Source organism: Homo sapiens, chromosome 22, assembly GCF_000001405.40.
Source record: "Homo sapiens chromosome 22, GRCh38.p14 Primary Assembly".
NCBI classification, from domain to species: domain Eukaryota; kingdom Metazoa; phylum Chordata; class Mammalia; order Primates; family Hominidae; genus Homo; species Homo sapiens.
In genome coordinates, this window is record NC_000022.11 from 33,752,168 (window position 1) to 33,771,490 (window position 19,323).

Sequence of the window (19,323 nt, forward strand, 5' to 3'; positions counted from 1 at the left end):
ACTAGTCTTTTGTTTCCACCTACATGCATTTCTCTTGGGTGTATTGCTAGGGGTAGAGCTAAGGGATCATGGGGTATGCTTGGCTTTGCTTGGTAATACTTTGGGTAAGTTTTCCAAAGTAGTTATATAAATGGCTATCTTTTACTTAAAATTAAGAGACCTATTCAAACATCAAAAGGACCCTCTGAATAAAATCCTCCCTCCTTTTGTTAAATTGGTATCCAAAATCAAAAAATAAAATAAAATTGACTTAAAACCAGGAAACCTGCAACAAAGAGCAGACATTCTGAACTTATCTTTTCAGAAAACCTTAACGCATCATCAGTTACTGATTAAACACCTATCATAGATGAAGTATTATGGTCTTAAATCATTCAGACAATTCAGACCAATACATCTAAATACAGTGCCTTTCTCATGAGCTGTAAATGAAATGTTGGATACATATATGTCAAATTCAAATGCAAGAACCCAAAACTCCAAGGGAAGGATGAGATGTCCATATGAAAAGTGCATGGCACACCATCTCTGCTCTGTCCATAAAGGACAAGAAGAGGATGGAGAGAATGTGGGAGCATGGGACTGTGGGAAAGTGGTATGGAAGGCGGAAAAATGACCCCCCAAAAGATGTCCACATCCTAATCCCCATGGCCAATGAATATGTCATCTTCCATGGCCAACAGGGCTTCGCCAGTACCATTAAATTAAGGATTTTCAGACAGGGTTGTTATCTTGGATTTTCTGGGTAGGCTCAATATAATTACAAGGGTCTGGCCAGGTGGGGCAGCTCACGCCTGTAATCCCAGTACTTTGGGAGGCCAAGGCGGGTGGATCACGAGGTCAGGAGATTGAGACCATCCTGGCCAACATGATGAAAACCTGTCTTTACAAAAAATACAAAAATTACCTGGGCGTGGTGGCACGTGCCTGTAATCCCAGCTACTCAGGAGGCTGAGGCAGGAGAATCACTTGAACCAGGGAGTCGGAGGTTGCAGTGAACTGAGATCACACCACTGCACTCTAGCCTGGTGATAGAGCAAGACTCCATCACAAAAAAATAGTAATAATAATAATAATAGTCCTAATAAGAGGGGGGTAGGAGAGTCACAGTCAGAGAAGGAGATATAACAACAGAAGTAGAGGTTAGCATCAGAGAGAAAGATTTGAAGATGCCACACTGCTGGCCTTGGGGATGGAGGAAGGCGTCACAAGCCAAGGAAAGCGGGCAGCCTCAAGAAGCTTAAAAAGACCAGGAGATGGATTCTTTACTGGAGCCTACAGAAGGAACCAGCCTTGCCAACACCTTGACTTTAGCCCAGTGAGAATGATTTTGAGCTTCTGACCTCTGGAACTGTAAGATAATAAATGTATGGTTTTTTTTTAAGCCACTAAGTTTGTGGTGGTTTGTTACAGCAGCCACAGGAAACTCATACAAGTTGCATGTTGGGACTCACGGCAACCACATTTCTTGATTCCTGGTCCAGGCCTCTTGCCATGACCTCTTAAAGGAGATGCAGCCAATGGATGCAGCAGGATTATTTGTTCCACCCTAGCAGGATAGCCAATATTATTTTAAGACCAAAGGCTACGTATAAGAAAAGTAGAGGTCAGGTCAGGTGCAGTGGCTCATACCTGTAATCCCAGTACTTTGGGAGGCCAAGGTGGGCGGGTCACCTGAGGTCAGGAGTTCAAGACCAGCCTGGCCAACATGGTGAAACCCTATCTTTACTAAAAAAACAAAAAAAATAACTGGGCATGGGGGTGGGCACCTGTAATCCCAGCTACTCAGGAGGCTGAGACAGGAGAATTGCTTGAACCTGGGAGGCGGAGGTTGCAATGAGCTGAGATTGCGCCACTGCACTCCATCCTGGGCAATAGAGCAAGACTCCATCTTAAAAAAAAGTAAAAGGAAAGTAGAGGTCATCTTTGTAACCATCTCACAAGCAAATAATTGGGATAGACTTTACTGCCCTCTCAGATGCCAAGACCTTAAAGAGACTCTTAACAGTCCCAAGGTAAGAACTACAGACACATGCACTGGGCATTCTTTGGGATGCATGTGTCACCTGGGCACTATTCAGAGCAGCCCACTTGCATGCTCACATTTTCATTTGTTGCAAGATTTTGCTCAAGCTCAGCACTAACACTTATTAAACATTGGCTGAAAAAGTTCTTTTTTTTTTTTTTGAGACGGAGTCTTGCTCTGTCACGCAGGCTGGAGTGCAGGGCGCCATCTCGGCTCACTGCAAGCTCCGCCCCCCAGGTTCATGCCATTCACCTGCCCCAGCCTCCCAAGTAGCTGGGACTACAGGCGCCCACCACCACGCCCGGCTAATTTTTTTGTATTTTTAGTAGAGACGGGGTTTCACCGTATTCGCCAGGATGGTTTCGATCTCCTGACCTTGTGATCTGCCCGCCTCAGCCTCCCAAAGTGCTGGGATTACAGGCGTGAGCCACCGTGCCCGGCCAGCTCTTCATTTTTGATCCAATTTTTTAAAAACACAACTTTTGTATTATAAGTCCCATTTCATTTTGCATTCGGCATCCTATGTTCTTATACTCCATAATATCCTTACTAAATGATACATTTGGACCACTGGCAGGACAGCAAAAATAGGCTTTCCTGCTAAAGCTGCTGCATAGCCTAGACTTGGGGGATACTGAAAGCTCCAGCAGATTATTCACCAATACCATGTACAATCTGACTTCCCAGACCTTCCAGCACACTCTCTGGGATGAGGGGCTGAGGGATGGGGGAGCAGACACAGGGCTGGGGAATCAGTCATGTCTGGACAAACCCTCCTTGGATAAAATGCACCACCCCCATCCCGCCTATTCCACCACACAAGTGCCCTGGGATTCCCCCATAATAATAAGGCAAAGAAAAAGCTTTAACTTACAATTCTTTCACTCTCACTGCCAGTCTTCAAAATAGCCCAGTATCGGAACCGTATTTTTTTCTGTTGAAATTTACTGTGACAACACTCAAAAACATTCATTTCAGAGGGGGTTCATGTTGATAAAAATGGAAGCAACAGGGAACTCAGGCTTTAGGAATGACAAAACAGGGGTGCAGGCTGATATCAGTTCAGAAGTGAAGATCCTCTGCCTTTTCATGACACTGGTTTTAAGTGTTCAGGACTTCACATCCTCTGAAGACATTTGCTTTTAAATAACACCCACATTGTCCCGGACTGCCTCCCTGACAATGGGAAACCTTTGCACCGAGCTGGTTATGAATTATCAGAGGGCAGCATGTGTGAAGAGTTTTCTGAACGGCTGAAAAGCACCCTTTTTCCACATGCTGATAAGTCTCTAATAGCCGAACACATCTCCTTGATGGACAGAAAAGAAGAACCACATCCCACAATAAAACCCACTGGGCTCTGAGAAAAGGTGATTCTGATAGAAAATAACAGGTATGCTCTAAATTCAAATGGGGCTATAGTTGAGCAGATTCACTCCAGTCCCGGAATTAACATCACGACCAAATGAAAGGAGCCACGTCCTCAGGTCTCAAAAATCACAGATGCTCACAGCACCAAGAGCCCTTCCCTACCAGCGGTTCCTGTGTCCCTCAATACCACAGTCCTACCCAGGGAACATTCACTAAGGACACATTAGGAGCGAGTGCTCAGTTAGACACTGGGAGTGTAACGACGAATAAAACACTTCCTTCTCTCAAGAAACTCATAGGTAAGTGGTTAGAAAGACATCAAACAAGCAAAATATCTCTTGATGACTGCTGGTCATAGATGTTTCCACATGGGATCTGGCATTAGGGGAAAATGACATTGAATATGGGCATTGAAGGTGTTGGCTGGGAGGGAGGGTTACAGAAAAAAGAACTGAATAGTGGGCAGTAAGACCGCAAGAGTGAAAATTAAGAATCAGAGAAATAGTTTCCTCAGGTAGTTCAACAGGGTATTATACCCTGAAGACAGACAGTATAGGTTGGGGAAAAAACAATTGTGGAAGACCCCAGAGTCATGGTAAGGAGTCCACAGTGGATCCAGGAGGCAATGATGAGACCTGTCAGTACTCAAAGTCGGAGGAGGGCACATGTGTTCGTTCACTCATTCATTGAACAAACATTTGGGGACCAAATCTTCTCCCGGCACTACAGTAGGTGCTAGAGGTGGAAGGGCGAGCTAAAGAGACCCGCTTTCTCCATTCCCAAAGCTTGTAAATCTGCTGTGAAAACAAAAGATTATAAAAACAAGAAAAATAAAGAGCCCTGAGTATTAAGGGTACATACAAGGAGTTAGGTAAATAGGGAGCCAAGGAAGCCTGCTAGTTAAGGGTCAGGAGCAATTAATTGTGTTTCAGCTGAGACCCAAGGATCTAGGCAGCCAGACAAAGAAGAGGAAGGAAGTAAGAGCAATAGAGGGTGTCAGGGAGAAGAAAGAACAGGTGGGAAGAGCAGAGCCCACAGAGGGCGATGTACACCAGGACTTAAAAGAATCTGGCGTGGCTGGGTAGAGGATGCCAGATAATGCGAGGCAGTATGGTGGGGATTAGGGGATGGGCCAGAGGGGCTGACAAGGAGCAGAGCGGTGCTCTGATTCAGCCCTGAGGAGTCTGAAGAACGAAGCAGACCTGCAAGAAAGTGGGCTGTTGTGCTTAGTCCTGATCACAAAGGAGGAGTGGCAGAGCCAGGGCGACAGCAGTGGTGAAAGATGGGAAACAACTGACGCAGCTACAAGGCCGAGCTTAGACTCAACAGGAGGTGGCAACCGAGACACGGAGTGAATGAAGGGAGACAAGGATTACTCCCAAGTTTAGGGCCTGAACGGCGTAGAGCTGGGAATGCTGACTGAGATGTTAGAGAAAGAAAGGTGGACTGGGAAAGAAATAAAGCAAGGAGTTGGGTTTAAGAACTAAGGGGTTAACGCACTAACAAAAACACCACCTGATGAGCGTCCTTCACCAGAGGTCACTGGGCCTTCAAAAGGTGTCTCAAGGAATGGGAATCTCATCTCTTTCCCAGATGGTGAACTCCATGCCTGACAACTGAGTCGCTGAAACAGGTGTTCTTTCTTACAGGGAGACAATGCCTGCCTCCCCATAACATTTATGCATTGATCCTGCTTCCATGCTCAGGAGCAAATCACAGTAAGCCTAAGCCGACTCCCTCTTAGTGTCATAATTCCCCTTAATCGGGGAAGATTCTGGTCATTTTCAGTTCACTTACATCAGACGTTAGAATCAGAAGCTTGTAGGTAGAATGTCGGCACCCTGCTAAGTGCACTCGACAACTTCATTTCACGTCGGAAGAAACGAAGGCCTACCATGAAGAGCAAGTGTGCCCCAGATCATCCAGCTCCTCTGGCTGAGGTGATTTGAGATCCTGAGACAGCTGACCCCCTCCAGGGCTCTCTCAATATATCATGCTGCGGCGTGTAATCCAACTCCAAAACCCTATGCTGAGAGCAGCCACATCTCAGAGGGAGTTCTTGGCTCTGCTCTCAGGAGGTCCATTGATATTAAACAGAGTCAAAAAATAAATAAACCCACATAAAGTATGAATAGTATTTCCATGAATACAGGCAGCAACTCTGCCCCTTATTTATGGCTTCACCTGCCACGAAACCAAAAACTCAAGGGTGTCAATAAATGGATTGTAACGTTGTTGTGATGTTTAATTACAAAGAAAATAACGTCTCTGCGGGCCCTTTGGGAAATGCACTGTTGTCTGTAGCAACCAGCAGGGAGCTTCATGGAGGCATTGCCTTTGTGTTCTGATAAATACTCAGACTTTCCCAGAGCCTCAGGATCTCTGGGTCAGGCAGGGTCAGATGGGTCACCTTGCGTAACTGCCTGTCTCGCTCAGCTCCCTCCCACGATACTGGACTTGTGTTTCTGCATCTTTCATGCCAGGTATTTCACCACCTCCTGGGCAGCTCATTCCAGCTCTGGTCAGCATGATCCTCATTATGAGGAGCTTGACATCTGGCTCCTTGCCACGTCCCTCCATAGGTTTGGGGCCACCAGAGCAATCCCAATCTTTCTTTCAGGGGACAGCCCTTTGTCTGTTTGCTGAAGCTGAGCATGTACACCCTGAGCCTCTGCTTCTCCAAGGTAAACATCCTCAATTCTTCCCACCATTTCTTACATAACCAGATTTGAACGGGCACTGTCACTCACCTGGATTTTCCTAAGCATGCTGCCTCATCTAGATTGTCCTTACAGCATAGAGTCCACAAATACAAATGCGGCAGCCCGAATGCACACTAACTGACACTCAGTAACAGAAATCTGTTGCCTCTGTCATCCTAGCTAAAATACTGTGTTAACATGCCCACATCACCCAGCCCCTACTAAATGCAGCTCGTGATTTGGTCCCAAGTGTGGGGTTCATTCTAAAGGATCATGTTGATAGATACAGCACCTACACCCAGTCTGTCATGTTGCCTCAAAGTATTTTCATGATCTTTCCAGTTTCCCATAATCTATCTGCCAGTCTGGTGAAATTGCTCAAAGTTAGTGATCACATTCACTCCACCGGCCACGATGGTTCTAAGCTGCCTTCAAATTGACCATCAACACATCTAACCATAAACACAGACAGTTATGAATTCTCCATAATCCAGATCAACTTCTAATCTCTTCCTTTTGGGAAACCATGCCATTTGCCTTTGGTGGCCATCCCAGTCACCCAATCTCACCCAGCGTGTTTTAAGCAACTCTCCATCATCCTGTGACCAGAAATAGGCACAGGGCTTAAAGTTAACAAAAAAGTACCAGCCTCCCTCACTCCCCTCCCATAACCGCAGTGACTGGTTTCAGGAGGAGTTACCACAGGCAATTCAATCAGAGGCAATATTAGTGAATTAGCAAAAGGAAAAAATCCTCTTTCTACTGGGGTTGGTGAGGACAGGATGCAAGCCTGAAACTTCCTCTATGTAGATAAAGTCACCCTGAGAAAAACCAAGGCAGAGAAAAATAGAACAAAGGGATAGAGGGAGACCTAGCTACAAGCCCCTGGATCCAACTCTGCCTGAAGCCTGCCCTACCTCTGAACTTACAAATCCTATTAACTATCAAATTCCCTTTTCACCAAAAATCAATTTGGGTTGGCTTTCTGCCAAAGAGTGCAAATCAAAATTCTACAACTTTCCTCACCCAGATTGTGTGACACCCTGTCAAATCCCTGACCAAAGTTCAATCACTCATTGAGGCCCCAATCTATAGCATGGTATTACAGTTAACAACTCAAGCTCTTGAGTCCAATCCAGGCTCCATCTTGACCACCTCTGGGACCATGGGCAGATCACTGAAGCTTATCTGCCTCATCCCCCCCATCTGTAAAACAGGTGTATTAAACGCACCTGGCACAAAGAATCATTGTGAAGAAAGAGTAAACATATGTAGAAGTCCTTATAACAATACCTGGCCTGTAGAAATACTCAAAATACTAGTTGTTTGTACTGTCGTCATCACTGTGATGACAGAATCACAGTGTCTGTCATCACTGTCCTTGTTATACCATTATTATTATTACCAGCTTAGTTAAAAGTCAATGTTCTACTTATTAAACCTATACTAGCACGGGTGGTACCTCTAACTTCTTTTATAAAAAGGGCTTTTCCATGATCTCTGGGAGAATGTTTCCTTACATCAAGACCAACATCACCTCCCCTTCCTCTCTCTAGTCCCTTTTCCAAAAACTTCCCATCCACTGCCATGGCATAATTGGCTCTATCTACCTGCTTAGATGAAGGTTCTGACTGTTCCAGGGATGCACCTAAAGGGTGGGAACAGGGACAGGGGTGTGTCACTTGGCCTCGGCACTGGGCTGAGCATCCTGAGCCCTCCCTGCTAGACAGGCACACAGTTTCACCTTGTTTATATTCAGTCTAGCTAACTCAAGGCAAATCTCAGAAAGTGAAGTGGAGATCCTAATTAAAAGGTAGCCTTGAGCTGCCAATAAAATTATGCATAAAGGAAACGTTTAAAAACACAGTTGTGACTTCCTTGAGACAGATTTTCATTTGAGATCTTCCTTCTGAAATTCAAGTGTGGGGGTAAATAAAAATAAAGTCAGCTCTTCACCACTGCCGTTCCCTCTCTCTCTGAAGCCTAGAAAACCATCTTCACAGGCAAAACATTGCACTGTATTTGAAACGGCTGGCTAGAAAAATGGTGAGTCTTGCTGTTCCCACTGATTTCTGGAAAGTAGCAGGGATCATCATTTGTTTTTATTTGTTTGGGGAGAGCAAATCCTTTGTTGCCTCCCTGCGCTCGGCCCCTCATGTAACTGATCATCTTTCATCCCCAGCCCAGGTCTGACAGCTCCAACAAACCTCTCCCACAGCACCCTGCCTTCCTCCATCACAACGCGCATCGCAACGTGCCGCGATCATTTCTTAGCCTATCTGTCTCCTCCGCTATCCTGTGAATCTCCAGATCTGTTATCTCCATATTCTCAGCACCAAGTTTAGTGCAGGCATCCAATAATAACAACAACACAGCCAGGCGCAGTGGCTCACACTTGTAATCCCAGCACTTTTGGAGGCCAAGGTGGGCAGATCACAAGGTCAAGAGATGGAGACCATCCTGGCCAACATGGTGAAACCCCATCTCTACGAAAAATAGAAGAATTAGCTGAGTGTGGTGGCGGGCACCTGTAGTCCTAGCTACTTGGGAGGTTGAGGCAGGAGAATCACTTGAACTCGGGAGGCAGGGGTTGCAGTGAGCCACAATCGCGCCACTGCACTCCAGCCTGGTAACAGAGCGAGACTCCGTCTCAAAAAAACCAAACCAAAACAAAACAAAAAAACCAGACAAACAAACAAAAAACACCACCACCACCACCACCACCACCACGATGTTGAATGGGTGAATAAATGAATGAAAAGATGGACCAACTCTTGAAACATATGGCTCCATGAATAGCTCAGTAATTTCTCCAGGGCCCAACCTTTTCTCCCATTATCGACAAAGTAATTGACTTGATTTGACATTTCTGTACCCACCACACTCCCACTACATCAAGGTATGCCTTATTTTGCTTGTTTTTCCCTTTTTCTCCTCACACTGTTGACTGCTGCCAACTACCTGTGTGATTCTAGACAAGTCACTTCCCATGACTGGAAATACATATTCCTATTAGATGGCTTTGAGTTTCTTTTCTAGGGTTCTATGACAGCTAATGTTCCCTTTCTTCCCTCCTTCCCTCTCACTTTGGCTTCCATTCTTACCTTCGAAGCTCCCAGAAAACAGGTAAATCCAGGTGATGGCTGGGATGCAGAGAAGACTCAACGAGGCAGCCAAGAATTTCCGTCTCCCCCTGCAGATTCCCAGCATCCTCTCAGAAGTGGCAATCCCTAATCCCAGCGCCGTTTCTCTGTCCGGAGCATGAAGTCCTCGGCCTCCCTCATAATACTCTCTGAAAGGAAGAGCAAAGAGGAAGGCCTGAGTTCTTAGCACTGGAGATGGGTGTAAGTTATGGAAGAGAAATATCTCATAGATCCTGAAAGGGGTTCAACTGATCTAGGCTTCCTGCTAACCTTTCATCCCAAGAGATGATGCTGCCGTCTCGCAGTCTTCAAAACTGAGACAATAAATAAATAAGTAAATAACAAAAACTGTAAGCTCGCTCTCTCACACACACACACAAACACGCACACACACATACACACGCACAATTTATAGTATAGGTTAACTTCGAGACCTGAACTAACATACTTAAAGGAGCATTTAGTTAGCACCTGTTATGTACCACGTATGAACCACGTGCTGTGTTTCAAAAGAAGACTAGAATAGGCTGGGCGCAGTGGCTCACGCCTGTAATCTCAGCATTTTGGGAGGCCGAGACGAGTGGATAACTTGAGATCAGGAGTTGAAGACCAGCTGGCCAACATGGTGAAACCCCGTCTGTACTAAAAGCACAAAAATTAGCAGGGTATGGTGGCACGCCTGCAATCCCAGCTACATGGGAGGCTGAGGCATGAGAATAACTTGAACCTGGGAGGCGGAGGTTGCAGTGAGCTGAGATGGCGCCACTGCACTCCAGCCAGGGAGACAGAGCGAGATTCTATCTCAAAAAAAAAAAAAAAAAAAAAAAAAAAAGACTAGACCAGAGGATGGATTCAAAAAGTGTAGTCTAATGAAAGAGACCAACAGAAAAGATCTATAACAACCCCAAGCTGAGATGTGCATGGACCACTCTGGAAGGGCAGATAAAGGTGCTGACTGCCCTGTGCGTGGTCAGGATGGCAGAACAGTTCCAGCATTCTGGGCAGAGGAGACTGAGAAAGGCAATGGTATCGACTAAAGAGCACATGCCAAGGCAAGGAGATGGGAGAGGCCACCACCTCCATGTGCATGGGACTGTACCCTAGTCACAACTGAAAGCCTAAACACACTCACTAGGGACTATCTTCATAGCTTCCACCCTCAATATGGAAGAAGAGGTCCAGAGAATCACAGAAACCATCAAAACATGCAGAGAAGGGATAAGAACAAACGGACAGCCTGGGGAGGGCATATCCTCAGACCACGGCAGAAGACTGGCCGTGATGTGTCAACGGAAGAGGGAGCAGGTTGGTGCAGACAAAGTGGATGGCCCATGATCTTTCACCTGATTATTTGACCAGGGAATCATGAAACCTACAAAGGAGTTAAAAAACCAATGGACCCTAAGACCTCATCTCTACCCACCTCCTGACATAGGTGTCACGCTGACTATAGGTGGAAAGAAAGATAAACCCACATGGTGCTTCCCTAACAGAGCGGAACTCACCCACTGCACACAGCTATAAAAAGCTTCAGATTCCCAAGGAACAGATGTCTATAAAACAGCTGGCTTGGTTCTCCCCTTCCATATTCCCAAATGCATCCTTCCCTCTTGGGTAACCCTTATACCGCCATGAAGGTGGTCTGGTTGGACTGACTCCTTTCCCCACCAGCCTTAGCATTTCCAGAAGGCAGATACCCACCCCATCAGATCCACCTTGCATTCTTTAAAACTTAGCATATTGCCTGTCAGCTGCAGGTGCCTGATAACTGTCTGTTAAATGAATACATGGAATCAGATTCTATCCAAAGGCCACCCTCTCAAGCTTCAGGAGTTTATGTTCAGTGAGTTGCCAATAATAAACACCTAATGGAGCCGATCACAACTGTCAATGCTGAGCCTGCTTCTGCAACCAATCTGACACGATTTTCTAAATGGAATTCTTTTGGAACAGATGAAAGACCACGGGGCTAGAGGGTGTAGACTAGAAAGTAAAACTGAAAAAAGCAAAATCCTTTTGAACAGAGAATGTTGACTTGAAAAAAAGTCCCCTCTAGGGAATGTTCAGTCTAAAGCATGGAAAACAAACCCTACGTACACATTCCACCAGTCACAGAGAATAAGAACCACCAAGTCCCGTGAATCTCTTAGGAGCAGGAAGTGCAGAAAAAGAGGGCTGTGCAGTTAGAGAGATGTGGGTTCAAGCCCAGATGCTGCACTTGACTGGCTGTGACCTTGACCAAGTCCCCTGTCTCTGGATAAGCTTCCTTATTCATCTATAAATTAAGATGATACCCTTTATCTTGGAGGGTTGCTTTGAGGCTCAAATGAGAGAGCCTTTAATGAAGTGCTTACCAAAGATATTTTAAGTACATTTCAGGGGCAATCCTTCCTTCCTGGAGGGCAGAAAAGCAGCCTTAATTAGTTTGCTTTTTTTTTTTTTTTTTTTTTTTTTTTTTTGAGACAGAGACTCACTCTGTCACCAGGCTAGAGTATAGTGGTGTGATCTCAGCTCACTGCAACCTCCGCCTCCCATGTTCAAGGGATTCTCCTGCCTCAGCCTCCCGAGTAGCTGGGATTACAGGCACACGCCACCACGTCCAGCTAGTTTTTGTATTTTCAGTAGAGATGGGGTTTCACCATCTTGGCCAAGATGGTCTCAATCTCTCGACCTTGTGATCCACCCACCTCGGCCTCCCAAAGTGCGGGGATTACAGGCGTGAGCCACCGCACCTGACCCTTAATGAGGTTTTCATCTCTCTCTACTCCCACATTTCCCCCACAGGATTGGGTAGAAAACAGATTCCAACAAACAAGTATTGCCCAATATGCCAGATAGGTGATTTAAACCTGAAGGATCCACCTACTCAATTCTCCTTCCAGAGTTACCGTTCTCCCTAGGGATCTGTGAGGGCCTGGTTCAGGACCCCCCACAGATACCAAAATCCACAGATGGCTCAAGTCCCTCATACAAATGGGCATAGTATTTGCATATAACCTACACCTATCCTCCTATATACTTTACTCAAAATCATCTCTAGATTACTTATAATACCTAATGCAGGCCGGGTATTACAGGTGGCTCATGCCTGTAATCCCAGCACTTTGGGAGGCCGAGGTGGGCAGATCACCTGAGGTCAGGAGTTTGAGACCAGCCTGGCCAACATGACGAAACCCTGTCTCTACTAAAAATACAAGAATTAGCTGGGTGTGGTGCCATGTGCCTATAATCCCAGCTACTTGGGAGTCTGAGGCAGGAAAATCACTGGAACCCGGGAGGCGGAGGTTACAGTGAGCAAGATTGTGCCACCGCACTCCAGCCTGGGCAACACAGCAAGACTCCATCTCAAAATGGTAATAATAAATTTTTTAAAAACTTAACCAAAAAATACCGAAGGCAATGTGAATGCTACATAAATAGTTATACCGTATTGTTTAGAGAACGACAAAAAAGTCTGCACGTGTTCAGTACAGTTGCAACCATCCGTTTTTTTTCCTGAAGACTTTCAATCACAGTTGGTTGAATCTGTGAATGTGGAACCCTCAGATATGAAGGGCTGACTGTATCACAACATTAAAATCACAATTTTTGTTTTCACAGTTTACTTACAGCAATAAGTCAAGGCAACTAGCAGTAAGTAGCACTTATATGTCAAGCACTTTTCTATATTTTTTTGCATATAGCTGCTTATGTAATTCTCAAAATAACCTACGAGATAAACACTATTTCCAGTCCCCACTGTACGGATGAGAAAATTAAGGCCTAGAGAGATTAATTAACTGGCCAAGGATTATACACTACTAGTAAGAGGCAAAAACACCTCAGGCTCTGCTCTCCCTCAGCAATTGATCCTAAGAACTCTTGCCAGAGGGTGTTTTTCCTTTTACTTTAACCTAAATCCTTCATATTGAATATTATGATTATTTCTTTCCCAGGGTGAAATATATCATAACTGTTAACTCTCATTCCAGAAAAAAGTACAATAGAAAGGCATTAAAAAGCTATAGACAAGGGCTGGGTGCAGTGGCTCACACCTGTAATCCCAGCACTTTGGCAGGCTGAGGCGGGCGGATCACCTGAGGTCAGGAGTTCAAAACCCGCCTAGCCAACATAGTGAAACCCGGTCTCTACTAAAAATACAAAAAATTAGCTGGGCATGGTGGTGGGCGCCTGTAATCCCAGCTACTTGGGAGGCTGAGGCAGGAGAATCGTTTGAAACTGGGAGGCAGAGGTTGCAGTGAGCAAAGATCATGCCATTGCACTCCAGCCTGGGCAACAAGAGCAAAACTCCATCTCACAAAAAAAAAAAAAAAAAAAAAAGTTATAGACAAATTTAAACTTTTAAAGGAAGGGAGGAGGATAGGAACTGAACTCATTTGGCATTAATAATATTCAAATAACACTGGGAAAAAAACTCTTTAATAAGATACTTACTTTCCTCTTTTCCTCTCTCCATCTGCAGAAGTTAATATCAACACATACAATTTGTAGAAAGTTTTAAAACAGAATCTATGGTGGTTCCCCTTTTATGATAACACAGGCATCTGAAATTAAACCCAGCAGGTAAAAAATATTCCTTCATGAATTTCACTTTTAAATGACACCTCTGTGTACTAAAAACACATTTTTAAGAAAAATCTCAATCTATATCAGAAGTTACTCCAGGAAGTCAACACAGAAATCAACACAAGAAGAACGGAAGGAAGAAACAGGAGGTGGGCTGGAAATTACATCACGAACATGTGCAAATGTTGGCGAATTAACTGGGAAAACCAGCCTCTAATCTGCTGTCTCCCTACTGCTCCCTGGTGTGAGGGAGGCCTCCCCACCTGTTAACCCAGGTGTCTAAGAGTCATCCCTAAACACCTCTCCCTCAACTCCAAGATCCAACTCTTCGGCCAAGCTGGTCAACTCCTCCTCCTAAACATGTACTCCATCTGTCGTCTCCCATCTGTCTTAACCAATGAAATTTACATTTATGAAGAACATTGTATGAACCCAAAAAAATCACCATGATCTGTTTGTTTTTGTTTGAGACACGGTTTCTCTCTTGTGGCACAGGCTGGAGTGCAATGTCGTGATCTTGGCTCACTGCAACCTCCGCCTCCCGGGTTCACGCATTCTCCTGCCTCAGCCTCCCGAATAGCTGGGATTACAGGTGCCAGGCACCACGTCCAGCTATTTTTTGTATTTTTAGTAGAGACAGGGTTTCACCATGTTAGCCAGGCTGGTCTCAAACTCCTGACCTCAGGTGATCCACCTGCCTCGGCCTCCCAAAGTGCTGGGATTACAAGCATGAGCCACCATGCCTGGCTGATCTGTTAAGCTACAAACACAGGATTCAAAGCTAAATGTATTATATAATGTGATCACAAGTATCCTTCAGTCCAAAGCAATAAATTTTATATACGTGTACAAATAACCTATATACCTATATAAGAAAAAAAGGCTTAAATGTTGTAAATTATCTTTTGGTATAGAATATGACTAATTTAAACATATACATATATATATATATATATATATATATATATATATATATATATATATATATATATACTTCCTGAAATTTTATACAAGGAGCCTGCATTGCTTTTACAATTTAAAAGTTATTTAAAAATTGGCCAGGCACAGTGGCTCACACCTGTAATCTCAGCACTTTGGGAGGCCGAGGCAGGTGGATCACCTGACATCAGGCGTTCAAGACCAGCCTGGGCAATATGGTGAAATCCTGTCTCTACTAAAAAATATAAATAAAAAAAATCAGCTGGACGTGGTGGTGCATGCCTGTAATCCCAGCTACTGGAGAGGCTGAGGCAGGAGAATTGCTTGAACCGGGGAGGCGGAGGTTACAATCAGCTGAGATCTCGCCACTGCACTCCAGCCTGGGCGACAGAGCAAGACTCCATCTCATAAATAAATGTTATTTAAAAGTTTTGATCTCTATGTCTTAATTATATTGCTTGCAATTCAAAATACCTCAGCACAGACAGTATAAAATATATATGCATATATATGCATGTATATATATGTATATATATAAGCTTTAATATATATACATATATATTATATATATAAGCTTTAATTTACAAGCTCAGTGCAGTGAGTTAACATCTCTCGTGTCCTAATTGGGAATACACCCTCCAGGGGTGGCTAGTTACCATTTGAGAGACTCCAGTCAGAAGCCTACATTCCAAGCGTGTGCGCCAGCTATCTCTCATCAGCACCAGAGGCTGTCTTTTAATTAGCATCATGGATGTTAGAAATAATTTTTCATGGGTGTTCAGGATGTGTGGATTGTCTAGAAACACTGCACATGAAGAAGGAATAAAAATCTAAGAAAAAAATATATACACACACATACACACAAACACACACATATATGGGGAAACAAAATGGCTCAAACCCTTCAGAATTGCTTAGGATCCCAAACTGATCCTAGGTGCATATAACAGTGGGAGGATTTGGACCACTGATTCTAACTAGAAGATTGCCTGAATCCTGCCACTCACACATTGTCACTCGTCTTCAGTGAACCTTTCTTACAAGGTGCTGTCCCAGCACCTGAAGAGAAAGAGCTGGACATCACCGAGGTTTTGTTATAAAACAGGTCCTATAGGCCGGGCGTGGTGGCTGACGCCTGTAATCCCAACACTTTGGGAGGCCGAGGCAGGCGAATCATGAGGTCAGGAGATTGAGACCATCCTGGCTAACACAGTGAAACCCCATACCAACCAAAAATACAAAAACTTAGCCAGGCGTGGTGGCAGGTGTCTGTAATCCCAGCTACTCAGGAGGCTGAGGCAAGAGAATGGCGTGAACCCAGGAGGCGGAGCTTGCAGTGAGCAGAGATTGTGCCGCCTGGGCGACAGAGCGAGACTCCGTCCCACTCCAAAGAAAAAAAAACCAAGTCCTATGGCAGATGGACCATTGAAAGATGTTAGCTTTATTATCATTATTTATATTACTGTCATTATTATTTTCCTACTGCACACCTTTACCCAAGCCACAATCCAACGCGCGCGCTCACACACACACACACACACACACACACACAGTCTCCCGCCCTGCCTACTGTATCCTAGATGTCTTTCCTCCTCTCTGGGACCTCAATAGAATCAAGTCTTCACTGCTTCTATAGGACTTCTCTGTCAAGTCTAGTCCCGGAGGCTCTCCCTTTTTGCTTCTCAACACCAACAGGAGTCAGCAGCACACTCCTAATCACTTAATTATCTTCTAATCATTTCCTGTGCATTACTTGATCTCTCTTCATTCGACTAAAACCCCTTCTGGGCAAAGGATCTAGGTCTTCCAGGGTTAGTTTTAAGCCTCTCCCTGAGACCAGCATCTAAGACCAAGGAATGTTTACACCAACCCACCTCTACTCAAAGGGTGGTCCTTGAACCAACAGCCATTAGCATCAGCTGATCTTTTCAGATATGCAGAATCTCAGGCCTCACCCTAGCCCCACTGAATCAGAACTGGCATTTTAACAAGATCTCAGGTGATTCATATATACACGAATGTTTGAGAAGCCTGTACTAAAGCACCTAGTAAATAACTGGTTAATAAACAGAGCTGGCCACCCCTTCTCCTCTCTGCTCCTCACTTCACCAGGGCAGGAATCCGCCAGTGCAGTAGGGCAAACTGTTCACATCCTAGACTTCCTTGATTGCAAATTTGTTACAACAGCTTTCTAAGAGATGAAAGCAGAGTTTCTCAACACGTGCCTTTTTCTAACTAAACAAAAACATCTACGGACTAGGGTTGGCTCTGATGATGTGCCCGACTTTTCATCAAAAACTTCCCCCACAAGTGAATACTGACTGAAGAGCACCAGCACCACCCACTTCATTACACCCACCTTACCAAATGGAAAACTGAGACTAAGAGAGGCTAAAGACACTGACTTAGTGGTTGGAAATCCTGGCACGCAAATTCTCGTATTGTTTCCTTTACGGTCTATCTCCCCTATCAGACCATCAGTGTCACAAGGGCAGGGACTTGTTCATTTTGCCCACTGCTGCCTTGTTCATTACTAGCACAGTATCTAGCATATAGACAAGAAGCTAATCAATAAATATTTATTGAATGGATCAATGACTATCTCCATCACGGCAGCAGTCTCACTGGATATTCATTATCATACAAACTACTCCAATCACACGATACCCCTCAGCCCACCCTTCCCCTCCAAGTCCATCTATGGAATGCTGTGGAACTTACACTATGAGATCAGAAAACTCCTCTTTATGTTCAACCTCCTTCCTCTCACGTCATTCTGCCTCTTGCTTTTATGTGAAAGTGGAGCTGTCCCCTAAATCACTGCTTCCCCTAAAAGAAAGATCTGTTACCCTCTTGCAAAGCATGTACCCAACTAAGGGAAAAGAAATGGGCCTCTGTCCTTCTGGCTTCCAGCTGTCTCTCCTGGATCCTCCTGCCACTCTCTCTAATGAAGACCCCTGTTCCACTGTGGCTCACTATCGTCCTCCCTGTCCTTGGCAACTACTGGTCACAGCTCTCATTCTTTTTTTTAGGCCAACAGGTTATAGTAATTTACTTCACATAAGAACAGCATATTTCAGCCCTACGATTTCCATTTAATATCAACAAAAATAATCTGTATGGAAAACCCAGAAGCAATCATAGAACATAATATGCAAAGTGTGCAAATGTACTTTAAAGTGCAAGTTATTCTATAGCATTAGCAAGGTAGAATGTCATAGATATTAAGGAATCCATTTCATTGTAGCTAATAATCTTTTTGCATGTATAGCCAATGCAAATGTACAAATTACAAGTTAGTGTTGATATTAAAATGTGTAACTCATCCTCAGATCATTTGTTTGAAGATACTAAAATAATGTCATGTTTATATTTCATTATTTATGAAAGTCATCAGCTCATTTCTAAAGCTTCATAAAGCATTGCACTGATAACGTATGTGTAGCCAGGAGAAACTGTTCCCTGAACTTAAAAGGTGAAAGACATGCCAGGTGCAGTGGCTCATGCCTATAATCCCAACATTTGGGAGGGCAAAGGGGGAAGAATTGCTTGAGGCCAGGAGTTCAAGACCAGCCTGGGCAACATAGAGAGACCTACCAACTCTAAAAAAATGTAAAGACTTTAGCTGGGCATGGTGGCATCTGCCTGTAGTCACAGCTACTCCGGAGGCTGAGGGAGGATGATCACTTGAGCAAAGGGTTTGAGGCTGCAGTGAACTAAAAATCACACCACTGCACTCCAGCCTGGGCAACAGAGTGAGACCCTATCTCTAAAAAATAGAAAATAAAAAAGCAAAAAAGGTGAAAGGCAATATCCTATATTGCTACTGCAGATTAAAAAAAAATTTTATGTGTATGTGTGTGCATGTGTGTGTACATACAATCCCCCACATCACACCAAGAAACTGCCCATAATCCAAATGGGAGGTCATTTACTCCTCCCATTCTTGATAACTGTAATCTCCGCGTGACCATTCTCACATTCTTCCTCCTCTCCACTTACTTCCATGATGAAAATGCCCATCCAAAATATCTGCCACTTCACATTAACCAGGTTCACATTCTAGGCCTTGTCATCACCCAAAGCAGCACAACCTGCATGGTTTAAAATGTCAATATCCCCCACAGTCCCCCACACAATCTCCCACAATCCCGTTGCCAGCCCTCCAAGGCTACAATTGCATAGATTCTTTACTGTCATCATGATCCCCAATCCACTGCCCTTCTTTATCATACTCTCTATCCAGGTCTATTTTTTTGCTTTTTTTTTTTTTTGTATTCTCTCTTGTTCAGCGTAGATGCTGCCACGGTTTGTTACTATAATCCCCTTCTGTAAGTACTCGCCCCTCCCTTGGCCCTTTTTGTTTCAGACTGCAGTAGCCTGGGAAAATCCAACGCTTCAGATGAATGCAACCCTCCTTGCTCTTCACAGCTTTATGTGTGAAGCCAAATGGGGTAGGAAATCACACTCTCAGGCTGGCAGATATGTTTCAGTTAATCATTTCTGATTTCAAATGGGCACTCAACTGCTCAGAAATGCTACTGCCTTTCTCTAGTAAACTCACTTCTCCAACCTC

General features: G+C 44.4%; 1 protein-coding gene across 22 annotated transcripts in view; it reads right to left on the reverse strand.

Moving 5' to 3' along the window:
• Positions 1–19,323, reverse strand: part of LARGE1 (LARGE xylosyl- and glucuronyltransferase 1) — an 856,162-nt gene that overhangs the window by 685,505 nt on the left and 151,334 nt on the right. For 20 of the 22 annotated variants that reach the window (XR_007067993.1, XR_002958722.2, XR_007067994.1 and 17 more), the window contains one exon: positions 9,204–9,391. Coding sequence is in view for 19 of the 22 variants with exons in the window: in XM_024452302.2 (XP_024308070.1) it covers positions 9,204–9,309 (106 nt within the window). In the remaining 3 variants the exon portion in view is untranslated. Of the gene's footprint in view, positions 1–9,203; positions 9,392–13,676; positions 13,787–19,323 lie in introns of all 22 variants that reach the window. The other 2 variants (XM_047441600.1, XM_047441601.1) reach the window with 1 other exon arrangement.